Raw genomic sequence first — 24,427 nt, forward strand, 5'->3', positions numbered from 1 at the left:
AAAACAACAACAGTAACAGTGAAAATTGCAGGTATTACGATAAGCTGGTTTATATTGAGATTTGGGGGAGGGGTGAAGTCATAAAGACAGCAAGATTTTCAGGATCTTTAAAACATCCTATATCCAGTGTGTTTAGGGAATACCCTGATCCTCATTCCTTTGGCTTATATAGCATATGCTGTCATCTTCAAAGTGCTTTCATATACTTCATCTCATTAAAACCTCACAAGGTAAAGGAGGTCAGTCATTCTTAACTATGTTTTACTATTGTGGAGACCAAAGTTCCCAGAGGCCTGGCAAACTGTCCAAGTTCTCCTGACTTCAGGGATAATCCCCGTTCCTACTATCCTTACTGAGGCCAGCAGGTGCTCATTGTGTGTTAGAACATGGAATTCTTGGTTGTTTAAGTCATGTGATTTTGCTGAACACTGAGGAGGAGAGCAGGAGCAAGACGCTTGTGTGGGCTTAAAGGCAGAGATGAGAATTGAGTGAACATCATCCTGGAGCCCATGGGTGTCATGGCAGAGGCAACAGTGCGGAAAGAGGCAACTATTCCAGGAGGCAGGGGGTATAGAGTGGCATTTTGTAAGAGTAGTAGTCATAAGATATTGATAATAAAATAGAAAAATATTAGTGTGTACAATGAAAAACCCTAAAAACAGAAACCATAGTTCTCTAAAAAGTCCTTGATAACATATAATCTAGAGCTGCTACTTCATTTTGTACATTACTCTCCTGTAAAGGAAAACCTGTTTCTTTTTTTAGACCCAGAATCTTGGCACAGCAATGGCAATTTCCCAGCATACTCCTTCATTTCTGCAGAGCACTGATTGTTGGAGTACTTTTAATGAAGTCCATTATCATTTTGGCAGTTCAACAAGACTTCCAGGAGAGAAACAGAGAGCGTGGTTTGGAACAAACACATCCTTGAGCTGTTTTCTATTATTCATACAGGCTACTCAGCATTTTTTTTGAAGAAAACTATATTAGAGTAAAAATTAATTGCTATATTAATACATCACTCTTAACAGGTGTAGCTCTGTGGTGTCTGGAAGCTAATAAGCTAACTTTCTGAGTGGCATATTTTTTGGGAATCCCTTAGGTCTCCCCTCAATGCAAAAGATACACACAGAGAGCTAGAGTCAATGCTGGAGTGCAAAAGGAGAAGCTTTTTGTGGTCTCTGAGGGCTCATTTATCTTCATATCCCCATTGCCTACATAGTACCAAGCACTCTGAATCAACTTTAATTGCACTTACTTCCATTTGTAATCATGTTTCTATTTTTGCTTATGTGGTTGATATCATGAAGACAAGGATCACGTGCATTTTGCTATGTATCTGTATGCCCTCTGCCTCACAAAATGACTTGCCCATGGCTGTCCTTCAATAAATAGATGACCACTAACCATGTAGTGAATAAATACAATTCACTTGCCTGAGTATCATTTATGAAAGTCATACATTTTTTATTTCAAAATGAAGTTTACCCAATATTGATCCTGTGGTAGCAAGAAAAATCCTCTGGCCATTTCAGGCAGACTAAAATTATGGTCCTATTTTAAATATATTTCTTAAAACCTCTTTCCTCATATTTATTTAGTGGAAGTAAGGGAGAAAAGTGATTTGTATTAAAGAAATGTACATAAAGACAGATCTACTTATGAATTAACATGCACTGACCAAAGCAGAACGAATGTTTAAAAAGTTGTCAAAATGTTTATCTGAATGTTACACAGAGACTGTTAACTGTCTCTTAAATACATATTCTCTCCTTCAATAGCAATTGAAAAGCTTTAGCTAGGCGGCAACATTTCCTTAAAAACTACATTTCCCAGCCTTCCTTGCCATCAAGGAACCATGTGACAATGCTCTGGCCTTTAGGATGTGAGCAGAGGCATTGTGTACAACCTCAAGGTCATGCCTATTCAAGTAAAGGAGGCCAACCTCTGCTTCCTTTCACCTCCTTGTGGACTGGAATGTGGATATTGTAGTGAGTCATTTTGACTTAAGAATAATGGTGTCATTTAGGATGGCAGAAAAGTACTGTAGAAGACCTGTCTCTGACACTGCTGAGTCCGTGTACCAACCAGAACAGCCAAACAAAACCCCTAGAGAGAGAAATAAACTTCTTTATGAATAACGTTTTTAGTTATCCAGGATTAGTACTGCAGCCAACTTTGAATTGTCAGCTTGTTGCTAAATGAGATAGCTCCTACTTGTCTCAGAATACTCAATAGAGGTAAGACAGTGATGAAGAGGAGGCTTACCAAATTTCCCTTCAAGGGTGCTATTTACTTTTGTAGGGTTTATGTATGTAATAGTGTGTGGAAACTCAAGTTAGTTTACTCTAGTGATGACTCAGCATCGTTTTAAGATTGATCTGCCCGTAATCTGACTCTGCAAAATATGTTTTTTATCTTTCAAAAGAATAGATTTGATGTAAAGTGGCAGTTCTTAGGTAAAACATTAATTTTTTTTTCTGTAATGGACAGAATGTTTGATATTGCAAAGATGAGAAGGAAATTAAATAGAAGTACACTCACTATGAATGCCTCTCATGTAGGACAGTTCTCCAGGTGTCCTTGGACCAACCCATATCTCCCCACTTTCTTGCTTGTAGTTCTCAAAAATAACTGCAGAATGTGCTGAAGATGTAAGATCCTGAGATGAGGAGAAGCTGGCCAGATTAGCCTAGGCTCTGTTCCAGTCTCCCGCTGGAAACAAGATATCCTTCAATGATTTAGCCCAGAGAGCTCCACGACCTTGGTGTATAAAACCCGGGGCAGGCTGTTTTTTGGGGTCAGTTATCTGTGGTACAACTGGGGCATGTGCAGTTGAGAATCCATCTGCTCTGGGCAGCTTTTCTGAGCCTTGGGGAAATCCTAGGCTTCTGTTTTCTCTTGTAGTCTATCTGTAAGTAATAAAGCTGCTTTATGTAACTTGTTACATGTGAGTGTATTCTGTCTCATCAGCCTCAATTGAGTTGGTAAGCAGTGCACAGCGAACCTGTTTCACACTTCAAAAAGCTCCCAAAAAGTAATGGAGGTTGAGACCTAGAGGCTGTGAGTGAAACTTTGTTACCAGAATGTTTTGTGCTTTAACTTTTCTCTTAAAATGTTTGGCCAATTTTAAAAGTCAGATTCTAGACACAAAAATGTTGTGTTACAGTACAGCCCTGGAAATCTCAATGGCACACAACACATATTTAACTTTTTTGCTCCTGTGTCTTCAGGTCACCTGGGGTGACTCTGCTTGCAGGTCAGGGTTCAGGTCTGCTTCATGTGTCTCTCATTTTGTGATCAGATACTAATGGTGGCACATTTAAAACTCTGGTTAGACTTGGAGTACAATGTATAGTGAATGCCTTTCTTAGTGGGGCAGTGTATTGCACTCTGCCCCAAGAAAGTGGGTATGTAATTTTATAACAGGGATAGAACAAAATCAAAACAGTAATGAAATCTACCATAGCAATATCTTAAGATGAATATATTCACATAAAGTTGGGAAATTTTACATAAAAATGTGAATTTTTTAATCTTCTTAAAAATTGGAAGATTTGTCAACTCTGATGTTATGTTCTCCTGTTGACAAAAACTAGGTGGACCCAAGTGCAGTTTTCTCCCTTCTGATGGGAAATGCTCTTTTGTTTCACTAGAACCCCCACCACCCTTGATTGCCATTTGCCAGCTCTATTTAATCATCATTTTCATCCTGGCTTCTGGAGGCAGTTCAGCTTGTGACCTACTGTATAGCAGATGGGTTAGAATGCACAAAAATACCTCAAAACTCTACTGAAAAGCATTAAGAGGCTATAAAAAGGGGCAGATAAATTGCCATGGAAAAACTGTGACAGAGATTATTTTTGGCTAGTGACAAGTCATTAGGATAGAAAGGGAGACTAGCTGACAGCAATATTTATTAAAGAGAGAAAATTGGAGCTAAGTCTCCAAGTATGGGTAAAAGTTTGATATATAGCCACAAAGACCTATTCTAAGAGGTGGGCTGCAGCCACTAAAGAATATGTGGAATAGAAGCATTCCCTGAGTGTTAGTACAAGGGCAATAATGAGAAAAACTAGGAAGATTAAAAAAACTTTATCAACTTTAAATGGGACTTTTTATTTCATAGTTGTTTAATTGTGTATTATGGCTGGCCATTTCAATATTTCAAAGACTCTTAGGGAACACTTCTAGGATTAATTCTTTTAAAAATTTTCCTAAACTGTGTATAGAGACAATATTCAATCTTTCGTAAGTTTTGCAACCTGTAGGATTAAACAGAAAAGAAAAACATGCATCACAACCTAATTCCTTGTGCCTGCAGTATAGGTGTAAGGAGGTATACACATCAGCGATTGCCACAAAATTGTTGATAACAAATCATGTCAAAACTCAGTGGCTTGAAACAATAGCATTTATTTTCAAAGATCTGTAGGTTGACCAAAGTGGCTGAACTGGGAGTGGTGTGGCTGGATGGTTCTGGTGGTCATGGCTATGTTCACTCATGTGCCTGCAACTCACTGGGCTCACCTGGTGCAAGCTGGGTGGATTTGATTCACGTGTTTTTCATCCTCTCTCTGGACCAGTGAGTCTTTCCCATGGTGCTGTTGCTTATTTGCATGATTGGACTTGCCCTGTTGCACAAGTTCAATCATGCAGATGCTCTTCAAGCCACTGCTCACATAATGCCTATTAATATCCCGTTGGCCAAAGTAAGTCACATGTTGGAACTAGAATTGAGATATGAGGGTACCTCTTTCCACAATGACAGGGCCCTATGAAGTTACATGGCAAAGGGCATCTTCACAGGAAGCAGTGAAGAGCTGGGAGCATTAATGCAACCTACCACTGAGGCCAGATCACATGCTTATTCAACATACGCACTGTAGTACACAAAACTGAAAAGATCAGTGGTTTTGTAACAAACAGACCTCGATTCACATTTTGGCTCTGCTATTTATACGATCAGTTTTGTCATCTCTAAAATGAGGATTGTACTTTTTATGATTGAATGAAGTATTTAGAACCTAGCAGGCACTTAACGAATGGCAGGTCTCTCCCTCTGCAAACATTTTTTCTTTCAATTGTCTTTTCATCTTTCTTCATGGGGTTGTTCTTTATTTATCAGACTCATTTAATAATCTCTATCTTTAAATAAATCATCACCTAACATTGTTTGGTGACATGAATCAAATACCTAGGACTCTTTAAATTCTACCAGAGAGGTGCAGATGAACATATTCTAAGGCTATCATGCCTCCCTAGGAAATTAGTTGCTTCAATTATCTTTCAAAACCTGCTTATTGAAACTCTCCTGGCATAAACATTTTTGTCAGAACATGAGTCTAAACTGAGTTAAGATAGATTTGTGATTTCTAATGGAAGTCATATAACTCTAAAAGTAAACATGAACCATAGACAAACCACAGAATTTTCTGAACCTGCAGCAGATTGAAGTCTAAAGTAACAGAGAGCTATGCTGCACCCTGGGAGTGCATAAGGGGATGTGTTTAAAACTAAATTGACATTACAAAACTGGATGGAAACAGATTTTTTGTCAAGGGATGCATCAAATTCCCCCCAAACAAAAAAAAAATCAGGAATATTTTTATTGCAGAAGAATATAGGCTTTGCAAAGGATGCCAATTTGTGTAGATGAGGCAGAATGGAAGGATGAGACCAAATGAGTTTTCCACTCAAAATGAAACAAATAATTCTGGGAATAAATATACCCTCTATTGGGTTCCTTAGGACTATTCAAGATATTTTCCTTTCCTAGAGCACCTCAATTTTTATTTATTTTCTACAAGTTGAGTGGGAGTGATATAATAACTCTTATGTCAGAGATAAAAATAAACCATGACATTTTGTCTAAACTCATCAGCAACTGGAGTGCATTTATGAGCATGGAATAGAGGTCACACAGCTTTGAGGATATTGTGGGTATAATCTGGATAAAGTCAGTACTAGCTCCTAACGGCTGTTTCTGCAATGTCAGAGTTAAATTGAAAGATGAGAATAAACCTCTAGTGACACTCACTTGAAAAGGGTTACTATTAACTAATGTGCATATACAATATTAAATCAAATTGAAAGCTATGGAATAGGGAAAATGCACGTGGATTTAGAAGATTCATTTTAGTCTTCACTGGATAAATTCTTAATTGATTGGTTTTGAGCAAGTTACCAATGGAAATATCTGTCTTACCACTTCTACAGAACTGTTTTGAGTATCAAATGAAAGAAATAATATCTAACAAGAAAGTTTTTTTAATGTTAAATTCCAGTACATATTTCTTTTAGTTGTGAAAATTCTTATAGTGGAGTGCTCTTCCATTTTCAGGACCTTTTGGACTTGGAGGTTCCTTTGCTTTACAGAGTACTTTTCAAGTCAAACAAATGCCATGTTTTAAAAGTATTGTTGAGATTAGGCAGCATATACCAAGTGCTTTAGCAGTATTCATCCTTTTGTGACCTAGTTGCAATTTCACAAACAATGAAACAAGGATACCAATAACAGTGATGTTTATAAAATGAAAATATATTTAAGACCTTAATTGTGCAATAATAAGAACATAATTGAATCACTTATGGCATATCCATGACACAGGCATTGTGATAATTTAAAAAATGCATTACATGGGCATAGTGTACCTGTATGGTACAGGTGCAACTTATCAGATGGGATTCTGACCATTATGCTGAAGTAGAGATCTGGAACCCTCTGACAGTGTCAGAAATATTCCTCTAGTGGTTGAAATGTAAGGAAGTCCAGGAGTGGAGCTGAGGCAAGTTTCCTAGGGGCAAATGAGAAGACTTGGGCCAACAGCCATTTCTGACCACGGTGGAAATATTTTGATATTTTGGAAACTAAAAGGGTTGTACTGTGCCTTCTAGCTGAATATCAGCCCATTTGTGAACTCAAAAGGTTAGAATACAAAACTGCATTTATAGTATTATTCCATTAAATTGTATTTACACATAGGAAAAATACTGAAGATAACATTCTTATATTTTCTTCTTTATTTTTACCCATATTTTCTATAATGAGAATTTTTGTGACACTTTGGTTATTTCTAGTTTTTCACTATTACAACCTAGAAATAATATGGACTTTTTCTCATGTCTGCCAGCAAAAAGTACAGGAATTTCTCCTAGTTATACCCTTATAAGTGGAATTGCTAAGTTGTAGAGTATATGGCTGCTTAACTATACAGTATAATACTACAGTATGTTCCAAAGTGTTTATGATAATTACACTCCATCAGCCATACATAAAGGGACCCAATAGTAGCTATCCTCTTACGCTTGGTATTGTCAGATTTTATTTTTCGTAATAGTATGGGAGTACATTTATTTTTCATTGCGATTTGATTTGCATTTTCTTGGATATTTATTGATTTTTTCTATATTATGAAGGGCTGTATTAGTCCATTCTCATACTGCTGTAAATATTCTACCTGAGACTGGGTAATTTATAAACAAAAGATGTTTAATTTACTCACAGTTCCACATGACTGTGGAGGCCTCAGGAAAATTACAATCATGGCAGAAGGTGAAGGGGAAGCAGGCAACTTCTTCACAAGGAGAAGCAAGTGAAGGAGGAACTTGCCAAACACTTATAAAACCATTTGATCTCATATAGCAACTCCTTTAATGTTTCCTCACATAAGATCATGCTTGTTGTAGGTTAAAAGAAAATAGTTATCTTTCCATTTCTAGTTTTCTAAGAGCCAGAGCTTTATCATGAATGGGTTTTGAATTTAATAAAATATTGATCTCAATGTACTCATATAGATAGAAAATGGTATTTATAGATTTTCTAATATTAACTCAGCTTGTAATTCTGGGATAAACAATTTGGGGATGATACATTTTCATACACTTTTGAGTAAGGTTTGCTAGTATTTTCATTATAGTTTTTACATCTATATTTATCATGGATATAATGAGCTTGCAATTTTTCTTTTATATGCTGTATCTTGTCTTCTCTTATTGTTAAAGACTTGACAAGTGAATTGAAGTCTGTTTCCTCTAATACTATTTTCTGGAAGAATTGTTTAGATTACAGGGGTCCCCAGCCCCCTGGACCATGAACCAGTGAGGAGGAGGTGAGCCCCGGGTAAGTAACAATTATCGCCTGAGCCCCACCTCCTGTCAGATCAGCAGGAGCATTAGATTCTCATAGGAGCGGGAGCCTTATTGTGAACTGCACATGGAGGGATCTAGGTTGTTTGCTCCTTAAGAGAATCTAATGCCTGATGATCTGAGGTGGAACAGTTTCATCCCCAAACCATCCGCTCATCCCCTCCATTCTTTCCCTCCCTGCTCCATCCTGTGGAAAAATTGTCTTCCATGAAACTGGTCCCTGTTGCCAAAAGGTAGGGAACCACTGGTTTAGAATAAACTGTATGACCATCTAGACCTGCTTTTTCCTCTGTAGGAAATTTTAAAATTTTTAATTTATATCCTTTACTAGTTATAGGAAAATGCAATCTTTCTACATCTCCTTTAGTCAGTTTTGTTAAATTTTTAAAGGCATTTATTAATTATTCTTAAGCTTTCAAATTTGTTAGCATTAAATTGTATTCCCTCTATTTTCTTTTCAGTCTCTGCAGTATTTACAGTTATGCTCCAATTTTTCATTTAAAATATTATTTCTTGTCTCTCTGTTTTCCCTCCATGACCATTCATACCAAAAATATTGTCTACTTAATTAGAATTGTGAATTTGATTTGGTTGATTCCATTATATATTGAAAAAAATTTCATTTGTATCTTCTCTCATCTTTATGATCTTTTTACTTCTTTTAGATTTATTCTGTTGTTTTAGCTCTTTAATCTCTAGCCTTAAAGGTATGTGATCTAAAAATATAATTCTTATATATGAAGCACCACTGTCACTGCCTCCCAGAAATTTTGATAATATCAGTTTTGATTATCATTCATTTGTAAGTACTTAAAATTTTTTATTATGGTGTCTTTCTTGACCTAAGAGGTATTTAAAAATATATTTTAAAAGATTTTCTAATATGCAGGTATCCATAATTTATCATTTTTTTATTAGCTCCTATCTGAAATGTATTATGGCTGCAGAACACACTTTTTATGTCATCTATTCATCAAAATTTGTTGGGGACTGATATGTTTCAGTAGATGGTCAAATTTTGTAAATGTTGTATGCATGGTTTGGAAAAATCTTTACTTTAGCTGAGTGCACACTTCTATATATGTGAGAAGGGACAAACCTTTTGTGTCAAATGGCCATGAGGGCTTAGTTCCTCCCTTTCCTTTTGAGTGGCTATGTAGGGAACTGTACTTTAACATATCAGGGAAGGGAGAATCACAAGATCTCTGATTGCTATCAACAGCATTGGTATGCAAATGCCCTAAATGAACTCCAGGATCTCATCAAGATTACTTTCTGGACTGTGAGTCACATAAGAATATGTTCATGATGATACTTTGGTTGTGTTCAAACCATCTAAAACTCTTCTAAATTGTTTTCTGCATCACCTGTCAACAGTTTTGAGATATATAAAAATCATCTACTATAAAGATGATTTACTAAATTCCCCCTACAAGTTATCAACTTTTGCTTTATTTATATTAAGGTTACTTTATTTGATGCATACATGTTTTAAAGTGCTACATTTTCCCGGTGAATTGAACATTGTATAATTATGTAATAACTCATCTCCATGATAATTTTTTTTAAAAGTTAACTATACATATCTCTATTTGCATGATAGTTTTCTATTCTTTTACTTTTAACATTTCTTTTTTTAAAAAAAAAAACAAAATTATGGGGTGCAAGTGTAATATTGTTACATGGATACGTTAAGTAGTGGTGAAGTCAAGGCTTTAATTTATCACCTGAATAATGTACACGGTAGCCATTAAGTAATTTCTCCTCATCCTGAAATCATGTCTTTTGCTAGAAAACAGAGTATCAACATCTCTCCTGTCCCTTTGTTTCTTTCTCACCTGCCCCCACCATTCACAGTTAGATTTTTTTGTTATGTCTTCTTATGGGTTATTTGATATATGTAATTTTTTGGTATTTATTTCTTTATTTTTTAGCAATAAAATTAATGAATATGTTTGATTACCCTTAATTTCTCTCACAGAATCTCCTGTGTTTATTTGCTTTCTATTAATAATTTGAGTACTTTTCCTAAAGCTATCCAATAAGGGACTTTTTGTGACAAATCTTCTAAGGCCTTTTATGTCTAGGAATATTTTCATTAAACCCTTACATCTGAGTGACAATTTGTCTGGGTATACAATTCAAGGTTTAAGTTCTTTCCTGTTGACATTTTAAAACTGTTCTTTCATTTTCTTCTTGCATCCATTGATGCTATTTGAGGGTCTGATTAAAACAGATTCTTTTTCCTTTGTAGGGAATTTGCTCTTCCTTCCCGGAAGCTTTATTTTTTCTTTTTTTTTTATATTCTTTTTTTTGGGGCGGGGGATGGGGCAGGACGGAGTTTGGCTCTTGTTGCCCAGGCTGGAGTGCAATGGGGCTATCTTGGCTCACTGCAACCTCCACCTCCGAGGTTCAAGTGATTCTCCTGCCTCAGCCTCCCGAGTAGCTGGGATTGTAGGTATGCACCACCACACCCCGCTAATTTTTGTATGTTTAGTAGAAACAGGGCTTCACCATGTTGGCCAGGCTGGTTTGAACTCCTGACCTCAGGTAATCCACCTGCCTCAGCCTCCCAAAGTGCTGGGATTAAAGGTGTGAGCCACCTCAACCGGCCTATTTTTTATGTTCTTAACATTTACTATATTGCATCTAGATATAGTTTTAATCTCTCCTGTAGGGTATTCTCTGTATTCCTTCAATGTGAAGGTATTTATCTTACTTGACTCTGAAGGATGATAACAATTATTTTCTAAGTATCTCCTCCTCATTATTTTTATATTTTTCTTCTTCTGGAAGTTTTATTATCCACATGCTGGCAATTGTAATCTTATTGTCATTTTTCTTAAATTTTCTTTTTATATTTTTGCATTATTCTCTTCTTTCTATTCCATTAGGAACATTTCTAGAATTGCTAGAAAGAATTCATTAATTCTTTGTTCAGGTGTATTCATTTTAGTATTTATCTCATTGATTGTGTTTTTTCAATTTACCTTTTTCTGATCTAGTATTTCTAACTTTAATTATTAATTTAGAAAGTTCATTACTTTTATTTCCTACTCATAATTTCTTAATTTCCTTTTGTATATTTATCATACTTATTTAAGAATTCTCGGACTGTTATTATATTTATTTCATTTCCAATGGTATATGTTGATTAATTTTTTTTGGAAGAAGTTGTACTCCTTAAATTTATTATTATTTTGGGTTGTGAGTTTATATTCCTCCAAAGTATTAGCACCTTTCTCTGATATTGTGTATTAAGAGTGGTTAGAATCCAGTAAGCTCAATGAGAAAGAAAGTGGTGAGCTGTAGCCTAGAAAGTTCACAAAAACAATTTGGGCAGTTCTTTACCTTCTTATTTTGGTGGGATTTTTATTTGTTTTGAACAGCAGAAATTATATATTTTTTGGAATAAAAAAGGTCATTGTCTTCGTAATTTTTTCATTTATTTTATGCTTAAAAATATTTGTCACCCTTAATTTCCAATATTTTTTATAGCTATCATGAAAAATATATTTAATCCTTTAATCTGCTTGGAACTTCTGTTTGTGCCATTATTTATTGATTGAAGCTTTAGTAAGAAGTTGACAACAGACAGATTATTGAGGGTCTTTTTAGATTTTTGCTTCTTCCAAGCAGCATCAATTATAGTTGCTATTCTCTAATAGCATGTAAATGGAAAAATAAGTTAGTATGTGACCATAACTTATAAGTACTACTTTTTGTATGTATTAAATGTTTTTCTGAAAAATAGTATGCAACCCAAATAGTAATTGATGTCTTTCTGTGCTCAGATTGACAAAGGTAAAAAAATATATATATAGTAGCCAACATGGTGTTGAATAGAAAAGTGGGCATTTTTTAGAGCAGTTTTAGATTTACATAAAAATTGAGTAGAAAGTACAGAGTCCTCATACAATTTTCCCTCTCACCAGTTTCCTGTTATCATTATCTTTCATTCGTGTAGTATACTTGTTACAATTGGTGAACCAGTATTAATACATTATCATTAACTAAAGTGCACAGTTTATATTAGGATTCACTCTTTGTGTTGTATAGTTTTATGGGTTTTAACAAATGTATAATATCATGTATCTGCCATTACAGTACCATAGAAGATAATTTTACTGCCCTAAAAATCCTCTGTGCTCTATCTACTTAATCATCCCTCTCTCCCCCTAATTCCCTGGCAACAGCTGATCTTTTTACTATCTCCATAGCTGTGCTTTTCTCACAGTGTCATATAGTTGGAATCATATATTATGTATCTGTTTCAGACTAGCTTATTTCACTTAGTAATATGCATTTAAGGCTGCTCTGTGTCTTTTCATGACTTGAGCTCTTTTCTTTTTATTGGTGAATAATATTCCATTGTATGGATGTACTACAGTTTCTGTATCCATTTACCAATTGAAGGACATCTTGATTGCTTACAAGATTTGGCAATAATAAGTAAAGTCCTATAAACATTCATGTGCAGGTTTTTGTGTGGACATACATTTTCAACTCATTTGGCAAATACTAAAGAACATAATTGCTGGATTGTATGGTAAGACGATCTTTAGTTTTGTAAGAAACTGCCAGACTGTCTTCCAAACTGGCTGTACCATTTTGGATTCCGTCAGTAAATGAATTAGAGTTCCCATTGTTTCATATCCTTGTCGGTATTTGATGTTTTCAGTGTTTTGGATTTTAGCCATTCAAAAAGGTGTGTAGCAGTATCTCACTGTTGTTTTAATTTGCTATTCCCTAATGATGTATGATGTGGAACATCCCTTTGTATGCTTATTTGCCATTTGTATATCATCTCACTTGATATAGAAATCCCACTTCTAGAAATCTGATGCTTAGCGATACTTCTGGATGAAAATTTATGTTCAATGATGCTCAATACTGCATGATTTATAAGAGCCAAATGTTGAATGTTGGTTGCCTCTTAATTTCTAAGAATGTAGTAGAGAGAGAGAGAGAGAGAGAGAGAGAGAGAGAGAGAAATATGACTTCTCTGCATATTCCTTCATGAAAAATACTCCAAACATATTAAGTGAAAAAATAGTCACAGAACAATATATCATAGTGTGATTCAATATATATAAAAAGTATATACTAAACACTATAATGAAAATAATTTAAATATCTGTAGTTTATAAGAATGTTTTCCTGTAAGATGATTGCATAAATCGTTCAAGTTTGACATATAGTATTATACCATTCTTGTATAATGAAGTTGCAGAGTATCTTTTAAAAATTTTATTTTTAAAAGAATTTCAAAAGTTTTTGGGGTACAGGTCATTTTTGGTTACACGGATAAGTTCTTTAGTGATGACTTCTGAGATTTTAGTGCACCCATCACCTGAGCAGTGTACACTATACCTAATGTATAATCTTTTATTCCTCACTCCCCTCCCAATCTTACCCCAACCAAGTCCCCAAAGTCTATTATATTATTATTGTGCCTTTGCATCCTCATAGCTTAGCTTTCGCTTATAAGTGAGAACATATGATATGTGGTTTTTCATTCCTGAGTTACTTCACTTAGAATAATGGGCTGCAGCTCCATCTGAGTTGCTGCAAAAGACATTATTTTGTTCCTTTTTATGGCTGATTGGTGTTCTGTGGTGTATATATACCACATTTTCTTTATCTGCCCGTTGGTTGATGAGAATTTAGATGGTTCCATATCTTTGCAATTGCAAATTGTGCTTCTATAAACATGCATGTGCATGTGCCTTTTTCATATAATGACTTCTTTTCCCATGGGTAGATAATTAGTAAGTAGTGGGATTGCTGATCAAATGGTAGTTTTAATTTTAGTTCTTTAAGGAATCTCCATAGTTTTTTCCATAGTGGTTGTACTAATTTACATTCCCACCAACAGTGTAAAAGGGTTCCACTTGCATCACATCCATGCCAACATCTATTGTTTTTTGACATTTTAATTATGGCCATTCTTTCAGGAGTTAGGTGTATCTCATTGTGTTTTTAATTTGCATTTCCCTGATTAGTGATGTTGACCACTTTTTCATGTTTGTTGGCTGTTTGTACACTTGATCTTAGCCAAAAGGCCAAGAGCAAATGTTGTTGGCTGTTTGCATACCTCCTTTTGAGAAATGTCTATTCACGTCCTTTGCATACTTTTTGATGAGATTATTTGTTTTTTTCTTGTTGATTTGTTTGAGTTCCTTGTGGATTCTGAATACTAGACTTTTGTCAAATGCGTAGTTTGCGAATATTTTCTCCTACTGTATGGGTTGTCTGCTTACTCTACAGATTTGTTTTTTTTTTTTTTTTTTTTTTTTTGCTCTGCAGAAGCTTTTTAGTTTAATTAGGTCCCATTTATTTATTTTTGTATTTGTTGCATTTGCTTTTGGTGTCTTAGTCATGAATCCTTTGCCTAAGCCAATGTCCAGATCAGTTTCTCTGATGTTATCTTCTAGAATTGTTATGGTTTCAGGTGTTAGATTTAAGTCTTTGACCCATCTTGAGGTGATTTTTGTATAAGGTGAGATGGGGATCCAGTTTCATTCTTTTACACGTGGCTTGCCAGTTTTCCAAGCACCATTTATTAAATAGGGTGCCTCTTCCTCAATTTATGTTTTTATATGTTTTGTCAAAGATCAGTTGGCTGTAAGTATTCGGCTTTATTTCTGGGTTTGCTATGCTATTCCATTGGTCTACATGACTTTTTTTTTTTGAGACAGAGTCTTGTTCTGTTGCCCAGGCTGGAGTGCAGTGGCATGATCTCGGCTCACTGCAAGCTCCACCTCCTGGGTTCACGCCATTCTCCTGCCTCAGCCTCCCGAGTAGCTGGGACTACAGGCGCCTGCCACCATGCCTGGCTAATTTTTTTTTGTATTTTTTAGTAGAGAAGGGGTTTCATGGTGTTAGCCAGAATGGTCTCGAACTCCTGACTTCATGATCAACCCACCTCGGCCTCCCAAAGTGCTGAGATTACAGGCTTGAGCCACCGCACCCAGGCAGTCTATGTGCCTTTTTAAATACCAGTACCATCCTGTTTTGGTAATGATATCCTTGTCATATAGTCAGGTAATGTGATGCCTCTAGTTTTGTTCTTTTTGCTTAGTATTGCTTTGGCATGCAGGCTCCTTTTTGGTTCCATATGAATTTTAGGATTTTCTTTTCCAGTTTTGTGAATGATGATGGTATTTTGATGGAAGTGACAGGGAATCTGTAGATTGCTTTGGGCGGTATGGTCATTTTCACAATATTGATTCTTCCCATCCATGAGCATGGGATGTGTTTCCATTGGTTTGTGTTGTCTATGATTTCTTTCAGCAGGGTTTTGTTTTTTCTATAAGTTTTATCTGTAAGTTTTCCTTATAGATATTTTTCACCCCCTTGGTTAAGTATATTCCTAAATATTATATATATATATATTACACACACACACACACACACACACACACACACATATATATATGTGCAGCTGTTGTAAAGGGGACTGAGTCCTTGATTTAATTCTCAGCTTGGTCATTGTTGATGTATAGCAGTGCTACTGATTTGTGTACATTGATTTTGTAACCTGAGACTTTACTGAATTCATTTATCAGATCTAAGAGTTTTTTGGATGAGTCTTTAGGGTTTTCTAGATATACAGTCATATCATCAGTGAACAGTGACAGTTTGACTTCTGCTTTTCCAATTTGGATGCCCTTTATTTCTTTCTCTTCTCTGATTGCTCTGGCTAGGTCTTTCCAGGGTATCTTTTTAAAAAAACATTTATCAGTAATTGAACACAACTATCTTTTCTCAGTGAAATAATTGTGCCTCCTTTAAATACGATACAGAACATCCCTCAAACCATAAGTATCTTTTTTTATTATTATAACAATGACCATCACAGTTATATGAATTTTCCTCTCTGATTTTAAGTGAGATCCCCCTGAGTCCTAGGACATCTTCCCTCTTGTTGGAATGTTTTGGAATTGTTGGCTGATTGAGTTTGGATGATGTATTAAAGAGAGATATTCCCTGTGCACATAGATGGTATTGCAGTGTAAACATTTGTAAATGATCTAAATATTCACTGCATTAGTTTCCTAAGGCTGCCATAACAACATACCACAAAATGGCAGCTTAAAACAACAAAAATTAATCATCCTACAGTTCTGAAGGCTAGAAGTCAAAAAACAAGGCATTAGCAAATACATACTCCCTCTTGAAACCTTTAGAGCAGAATCCTTTCTTGCCTATTCCAAGCTGCTAGTGGTTTGTCAGCAATCCCTAGTATTCTCTCCTGTGTCTGCATCTATGTGTCTTTGTCTCTTACAAAGACACCAGCCATTTCAGCCCAACTTAATTCAGTATGCCTCATGATAACTTAATTACATCTGCAAAGACTCTATTGAAATGACATCACATTCACCAGTACTGAAGGTTAGGATTTTAATATATCTTTTAGGGAAACACAAGTCAATCCATGACATTCGTCAGTTGGAAAGTCATTAAGTAGAGCATGTTATAATTATAATATAAAATGTCATGAAGTAGACATATATGTACTGATATGACAAGATATCAAAGACCTATTGTTAATAGAATAAAAAGGTTGCAGACCAATATGTAAAATATGGCCCTATGTGTGTAAAAAAGATCTGTCTTTATAACTACATAATCTATATGTCTATCTTATTTTTATCTTTACTCATGTTTATATCTATACCCATATTATCTTCTCTCTTCTGTGACACTATCTAGGGAGAGAAGAATAGGCAAATGGAGAAGAATTAACAGTCTTTCATAATATGAATCTTATCATATATTACCAGTATAGTTTTTCAATTATTAGAGAAAAAAAAAATAAAACACCAAAGAAACAGTGATGGACAGAGATGGGAAAGATTTTTATTTTGGTAGTTGTCTTAAGTTAGCTTCATTTTTTTTTTTTGAGACAGAGTCTTGCTCTGTTGCCTAAGCTGGAATGCAGTGGCGTGATCTTGGCTCACTGCAACCTCCACCTCCCAGGTTCAAGTGACTCTCCTGCCTCAGCTTCCTGAGTAGCTGGGACTACAGGCACACACCACCACACCAGCTAACTTTTGCATTTTTAGTAGAGATGGGTGTTTCACCATGTTGGCCAGGCTGGTCTCGAACTCATCACCTCAAGTGATCCCACCTGCCTCGGCCTCCCAAAGTGCTGGGAAATTAACTTCATTCTTATTAATTTCAGCAATGTGGACAAATCATTTGTAGTTTCTGAAACTTGCTTTCTTTTCTAAATCTACAAAAGTTATTTGCTACTTTTTCTCTCTCAGCCTCGTAATTCACTTTACTTACATAACCATTTGAAAACTTGATTGAAGTATCTCAAAGAAAGGAAATGAATGCAGTGATATATTATCACTTGAGTTTAATATGTGGAACTTGCTTATGTGGGAACAAGGTCTTTCAATTAAAGTGAAGGCAAACAAAAAATGTTGAAGAGGAGGTATTTCAGTTATATATAAGTTTTTAATCTCCACCAGACCCTATTATATACAGGGCATTCCTTTTTTTCTCCCCCTTCCTCTTCCTTCTCCTCTTTTTCTCTTCCTCTTTCCTTTCTCTTCTTTCATTTGCTCTCCTCTTACATTGCCCAGTCTCACTACATTTAAACTTTTCTTTCTACCTTCCATTAAAAAAATCCAACATTGAAACTCCACAGGAAAATAAAATATTTGAAGCTTTCTAATGTCTTTTTGTTGTTTATCTTTTCATTTTGGATATATTCAAATATACACACACAAAAGAGGGAATCTAATATCATTATGGATATTTTCAAATATACACACAAAAGAGGGAAGACACATACTCTTATGTGTCTATCAACCAGTTTCAATGATTACTAACATTTTCATATTCTAAGTTCATTCAGCACTCTCCATGCATAAACATTGTATTTTATTTAGCTTTCTGTTGGAACATTGAAAGAAAATCACAGATATCATACATTTCAGTTGCAAATACTTTGGTTTGTATTTGCTATCTTTTTTAAAACAAAAGTAAGACTTCACTGACTTATGAATACTTTCTCAAACATGGGATTTAACACCCTGTCAGAGACCCTAGGGGATGGGTAAAGTTAACTGCTTGGATGGTTCTCAGAAGCCTGGAAAAAGTAGTAGCCCTGCTGAGTGAAATTGAAATGCTTGAGTTGCTAAGGCAGATTTTAGAGGAAGCAAAAATGCTGAGGGAGATGAGCATGCAGGAGTGGGTATATTATGAGGCCAGAAGACTCACCAGAGGATTACCTTACATGGAAAGACCCAGAGGACACTCTATTCATTCAGAACATTGGGTATGGCTCAGAAGGGCAGCCAATGAGAGGGACAGCCACAGAGGGTACTACTTACATTTACCATCCGAAGAAGGCAAGAATAAAGGAACTGAAGGCTGGGAAATGGCTGCCAAATAAAAGGTCATGATTCCTTGCTCAGCTGAGTTTTCTATGCTTAGCCAGTTGTCAAATTAGGAATTCAGTAAATCTAGGGATGGCAAGATCAAGAAGAAAAACCCTGCAATGCCATGGCAAGTATGTACTATAAAAATATCTCTAGGTCTTCCCCAAATGGACTTGGGGCCATTTACTTGGGTCACTATACACTGTACATAGGGGAAATGACAATGTCCACATATTTTTGAGGACTATTGGACACAGAGTCTGAGCTGACATTGACACCTTGAGACTTGAAGGATCACTGCAGCTTCCTTCTTAGTGTGGAGACACCAGGGAGGTGGATAAAATATGGAGTGCTGGCTAAAGCCTGCCTTATAACGGGCCTATTCCTTGTCACTGGTGAATAATTGGGATTGCCATGGTTGCCAACAAACCTTCACATGGCGTTTTTGGCTTGTGGGTTAAGAGCTACTATGTGGGGAAAGGACAAATGTAAGACTTGAAGCTGTCTAAAATGCCAGACAAGACATTAAATATAAAACTATTCTGGTGTGTATGTATGAATACTACTGTCAAACTTAAAGATCTAAAAGATGCATGGGTGGAGTTTCCTATCATATCCATCTGGTTAGCCACTCTGGCCCCTGTAGAAATTAGATGGTTGCTAAAGAATCCACTACTCAACTGTCACCCAAGGGACAGCCCCAACTGCAGCTGCCATGCCAGACACGGTATCATTGGTGGAGCAAAGCAATTATGTCTCAGGGACATACTGTGTGATCTTTTATTTGGTAAATGTGTTCTTTTCCATTCTTAGTAGAACAGAAACAATGTGCACCCATGTGAACAACAATTAATTTAGTTTTGCCTTAGATACTAACTCTACTACTTTCTGTCATAACATAGTTCAAGGAGATTGGAACCACCTGGACCATCTGGATATCCCACAGAAGACCACACTGACCCATTATTACACTGATGATATCATGCTGATTGGGCAAGAGAAGCAAGAGGTAACTAGGGCTTGGTAATGCAGAGAATGGAAGATACATTTATGGAGACTTATGGCCTTGACACATGGGTAAAGTTTTTAGGGCACATACTCAGGAGTGTGTCAGGATATCTCTTCCAAAATAAAAGATAAATTGCTGCACAATGCCTAATGGTCCTCTTTTGGTTCTAGAGGCAGTATATTCTACACCTAGAAACTGTGCCCTGGCCCGTATACACAAAAGGCTATCAGCTATGACACAGCACTCTTGCCCCTTGCACCATATGGTCCAGTCAACACTATGCTATTGGAAGTATGCTATGTTTAAAAAAGATTCATTATGGAATTTATGGCCAGCACCAGTGAAATAATTACAATGCAGGCTTCTGTTGTTCTGGAAAAAGACCAAGCCATATGCAGTACAGAATGACATACTTTCTGAGAAACAGCCCCTGGAGTGCCACTGAGTCCTGGTAGAATACTTAATCATGGTTACCAAGTGACCATGCATCCCTAATTTCTTATTATAATCTGGGTTTTGCCAGACCTGCCAAATCATAAGGCCAGAGAAGCCAGCTGTGGCCCGTTGCACAATAGAAGTAGTATATCCAGAATTAAGACTTTAGAGATCAAAATGATATACCCAGGATCATGTAAGTAGGGATGTTTTAACAATGGAAACAGGCACAAATGTATGATATTCCAAGGAATATGGAATCCAAGGGATTCAAGTGGGTCCATTTTGTTGCTTTCTTCCCCAGTTGTAATTGTGAATACACAGATGCAGCAACCTTGTCCTAATGAGAGTCTGATTACCAGAGTCTCAGACCTTTCAGAAATGAGGGTTTGGGTAGTATTATCAGATAAGCATTAAAACTCACAGCGATGATAGCAGAGGTTAAGGAGAATTGAGGATGGATAGTGAAGTAGGGACACAGTGAGCACCAGTTGCAGCCCATGGTCAACTGTAGTGGCAGGGGAAACAGTTTGTCTTACTAACTTTCCTTTTCTATGTTTTCCTCAGGAAGGAAGGCCCACAGAAGTTGCTGTGTGAACATGTGTGGAGATGTGAATCCATATAGCTCAAAGGGTGGACTGTGACACCTATGAGGTATGTTGCACAGATATTTTTAAGAGAGAAGCTACTGTAAGGAGTGTTGTTAGCTGACAGCCTCCAGCTGCTTTGGGATCTACTGCTGCATTCAGCCCAAGGTCATTCTTCACTTAGGTTGTTCTCAATCAATAAGTAAGCATGGCAGGGGTACTAGAGCCAAGCTTTATCTTTCCCATGTCTTGCAGTCTTTGCTCTGGGGCTCCACATCAGCCTGGCTGACTCTTCCTTAGAACTGCATTGCAGCCTGGCATTTTCCCCTCTCCATCCTCCTTCTTTCCTCCTATTTTTTTGTGGGTATCAGACCCGCATGGTGGTCTGAGACTCCTCCTGTATACTTCTGTTTTCTCTGCCCTTTTATTTTTGCCACTGAATGCTTTGTACCTCTCATTTCATCTTGGTACCTGCTTCATGGAGGACCCAAACTGATGAAATATACTTGTTTTATATTGAATGTAATTACTGATATATATTTTTTATCCTGATATTTGCCTTCTAGTTATCTTAACTATGCTTAATCTCTTTTTCCTCCTTTGACTTGTTTTAAATTTTATTTCTTACACTTAAAGTATTAAGTTAACTTATAACTAGATATGTTTTTACTATTGTTTAGGTGTTATTGATCCAGAGATTACAGTCTGCAATCCTGATTTATAAAAGTCTAATATAAATTAATACATGGACATGTTTTAGACAATGTGAAGACCTTAGAACACTTTAACTCCATTTATCCTTTTCTCAAATTATGTGGTGTCATTTTCACATATTGAATTCTGTCTTTATTTTTCTTCATATTTTATTTTAATCCCCACAAAGATATATCCCCACACATATTGTTTATTCAGTCTGTGTTCACTTACCCACAAATTAGCCTTGCCACTTGAATCATTTTCCTTCTATCTACATAATGACATTTGTTATTTTAGTGCAGCTTTGTTCATGAAAAATTCTCTCAGTTTGCGCTTTTCTTTAAAAATTTATTTTTATCAGTTTTGTTTTTGGAAGGTATTTTTGCTGTTTATAGAAATCGATATAGCAGATGTTTTCTTTATGTTCTTTCAAAATATAATTTTATTGTCTTTGGCTTCTACTAGTTCTGTCTAGAAATCAGCTGTGAGGTTAATTTGTTAATTAAAAGGTTAATTCCTTTGAAGGGTTTTTTTTTTTTTTTTTTTTTTTTTTTTTTTTTTTTTGCTTTACAGCTTTCAAGTTTTTGTTTTTGTTTTTTATTTTGTTTTTGTTTTTTATTTTGTTTTTTTTCTGTCTGGTTTTTAACTGCTTGACCATGATGAACCTACATGTGGTTTAATTCTAGTTCAGCATTATTCCTAGGGTGTAGCTCTATAAAATTTCAATCAAAACCATGTGGTATTTCTTAGGGATCTTCTTTGTGTGTGATCATTGAACTCAAATTTTTGTAGCCTCATGAATTGCTGTAAAGCTCCGCTCAGCTTCTCGGCCCTCAGCTGCCATTTTCAGAGTTGGCAATTCCCTTAAGGGGAAGAGCTTAGCTCTCTGGGCCTCTTTCCTCTGCTTAGACGGTGGCACCCCAGATCTTCACTTTCTTGGGACTTTTCTTATGCTTTTACATAAACTAAAAAAAAATTCCATACTTCTGAGTTGTTCTCAGTTGGAAGGATAATCTGAAAAACCTGTTGCCAGAAGCAGATTCCTATGTGAAGCACTCAGAGCAGTGTGCAGCTCCATGGAAACATCACTCTTACCACAATACAACTCAGCGGTGTGGATTTACTTTAATTTGTTCTGTTGTGCACCAATAATTTTCCTCCTGATGACTTCTGTTTTTCTTTAATTCAGCAAAATTTTCAACCATGTTCTCTGTTCTTTCATTTGGGAACAATTATGAGGTATATGTTGGAGTTTCTTAATCTATTCTCCTTATTTCGTATCTCTAAGTTTTTTTTTTTCTTTATCCTCTATATTTTGTTTTGGGTACATTCCTAACTACTATCCTCCAGTTCACCAATTCTCTCATCAGTTGGATTTTTATCCTAACCTTTCTTGTTTCAGTGATTGTATTTTTCATTTCTATGATTTTAGTTTTCCTCTAGCTCTACTTATTCTTGATTCATATCTTCCTGTCTTTGCTCCATAATTATTGATTTTACTTTTGGAAATGAGAGTAAGACTCAGGGGGGTGAAGGGAAGTCCACAAAGGAATCTCCAGCATTTGGCAGCATTTTTTTTTTCTCTTAAGGTGTTTGCTAATGCCAGTGTCTAGAAATTGAGAAGCTAAGTAGAGTTTCAGTGATTTAATGGTGCTCAGGCAAAAATTGCCGTTTCCCCCTATATTTTCCTCAGTGATTTGTTGTATTAAATAAGTCAGTCAACTTTAGTGACAAAAGTACTCAATATATTTTAGCTGCCATTATTTTGTGTCAATATTGTTATCATTTTTATTATATTTCTTTTCCTCCTCCTCATAACTAGAGGATTTTAAAGTCCCTCTTAGAAGAATGCTTTAATATTTGCTATTATTCTAGAGTAATTTCTCCTGTCTTTTGATCTTTATGATGCTCATTGTTCTCATGCGCTTGGAAATTTTCATTTCCAGGTTCATCTTGTGTAGAATTTATGTGTATGTTTATGTACACATGTATGTGTTTTTCCCTCCTTTTTCCCTGCACATATCTCTATGTTTGTATGTTACAACTGCCTTTGCCCAGTGTGCTGAAATCCTCAGCTTGGAATCAGACCTTATTTTGGTGGCATGGGTGTGTGATCCTGAAGCATTATGAGAGTCATTTCCTAAGTCAGCAGGTTTGCTTGACCCAAGTTTGGAATCTTAACTGTTGATACTCTCTCTAGCATGGATGGACCTTTTTATAAAGACTTTGGCCATGGCAAGGAGCCCCGGTCACCACTGGATTCATGTTACAAAACTCACCCTGATGTCTAAAATGTGTTTGGGGTTTATGGTTTCTAATCAACCACCTAGAAATTGATCACCTACATATTTGTTCTGGATTGATCTGGAAGCTCACGTGGTCTGGGGTCCTAACCCAACTTAATTATTTCTGATTTATGAATGTCTAGTTAATATCATCTTAAGCACAAATACAACTTCCAAAATATATGCACATATTTTGTCATTGCTATGGGTAGATAATAAAGTTGTTTATTTAATGGGTAATCTTATAATACTACTTTGACTAGAATCAAATATTGCTATTATTATCAGTGGAAACAGTAGTAACAGTAGAAGTAATAGTGGTAATTATTGCAGTATTGGTTCACACTAAGCTTGTCATCACCTAAAAGTCTCAGATTTTTTAATATGAATTATTGTAAAGTCAGTGTTTGATTTCTTATATGCGCACAATTTTGGTGTACACTCATATATTTTTGTAAGCAGAAGGGGGCAAGCTACCAAATTCAGTTGGGAAGCCATCCAGCTAAAATATTTCTTGACAGTTTTGTAATTTCTGAATTACAAATTAAGAATAAGTTAAGAATTAAGCATATAATCCAGGCATTTAGTCAAAGGCAAGTACATGGATCCCTGCTAAATTTGGTTCTATATTAATATATTTAGAAATTACAAACTGTTAAGAAATATTTTAGCTGGATGGCTTCCCAACTGAAACATAAACAATTAAACATTTTCTTTAAGCAAAAGTAATTTCATGGAATAGATGTAAAATAGTTTCTTCTGTGTCAATTTTTTTCCCCAAAGGTTTCTTGTTAAATACCCATATGATAAAATTGCTGGCAGCTTCTTCTTTGTGTTCATCCTTTTCTTCCTCTTTCTATTGTTTCT

General features: G+C 35.8%; 1 long non-coding RNA gene across 2 annotated transcripts in view; it reads left to right on the forward strand.

Annotated features, from left to right (window-relative positions):
* LOC105374739 (uncharacterized) overlaps window positions 1–24,427 on the forward strand; it is a 90,060-nt gene that overhangs the window by 21,821 nt on the left and 43,812 nt on the right. For both annotated transcript variants that reach the window (XR_001742650.2, XR_001742651.2), the window contains 2 exons: window positions 19,451–19,557; window positions 20,560–20,646. This is a non-coding gene — a long non-coding RNA (uncharacterized LOC105374739). The remainder of the gene's footprint in view (window positions 1–19,450; window positions 19,558–20,559; window positions 20,647–24,427) is intronic.

The sequence above is a fragment of the Homo sapiens genome, chromosome 5 (assembly GCF_000001405.40).
Source record: "Homo sapiens chromosome 5, GRCh38.p14 Primary Assembly".
Taxonomy (NCBI): Eukaryota; Metazoa; Chordata; class Mammalia; order Primates; family Hominidae; genus Homo; species Homo sapiens.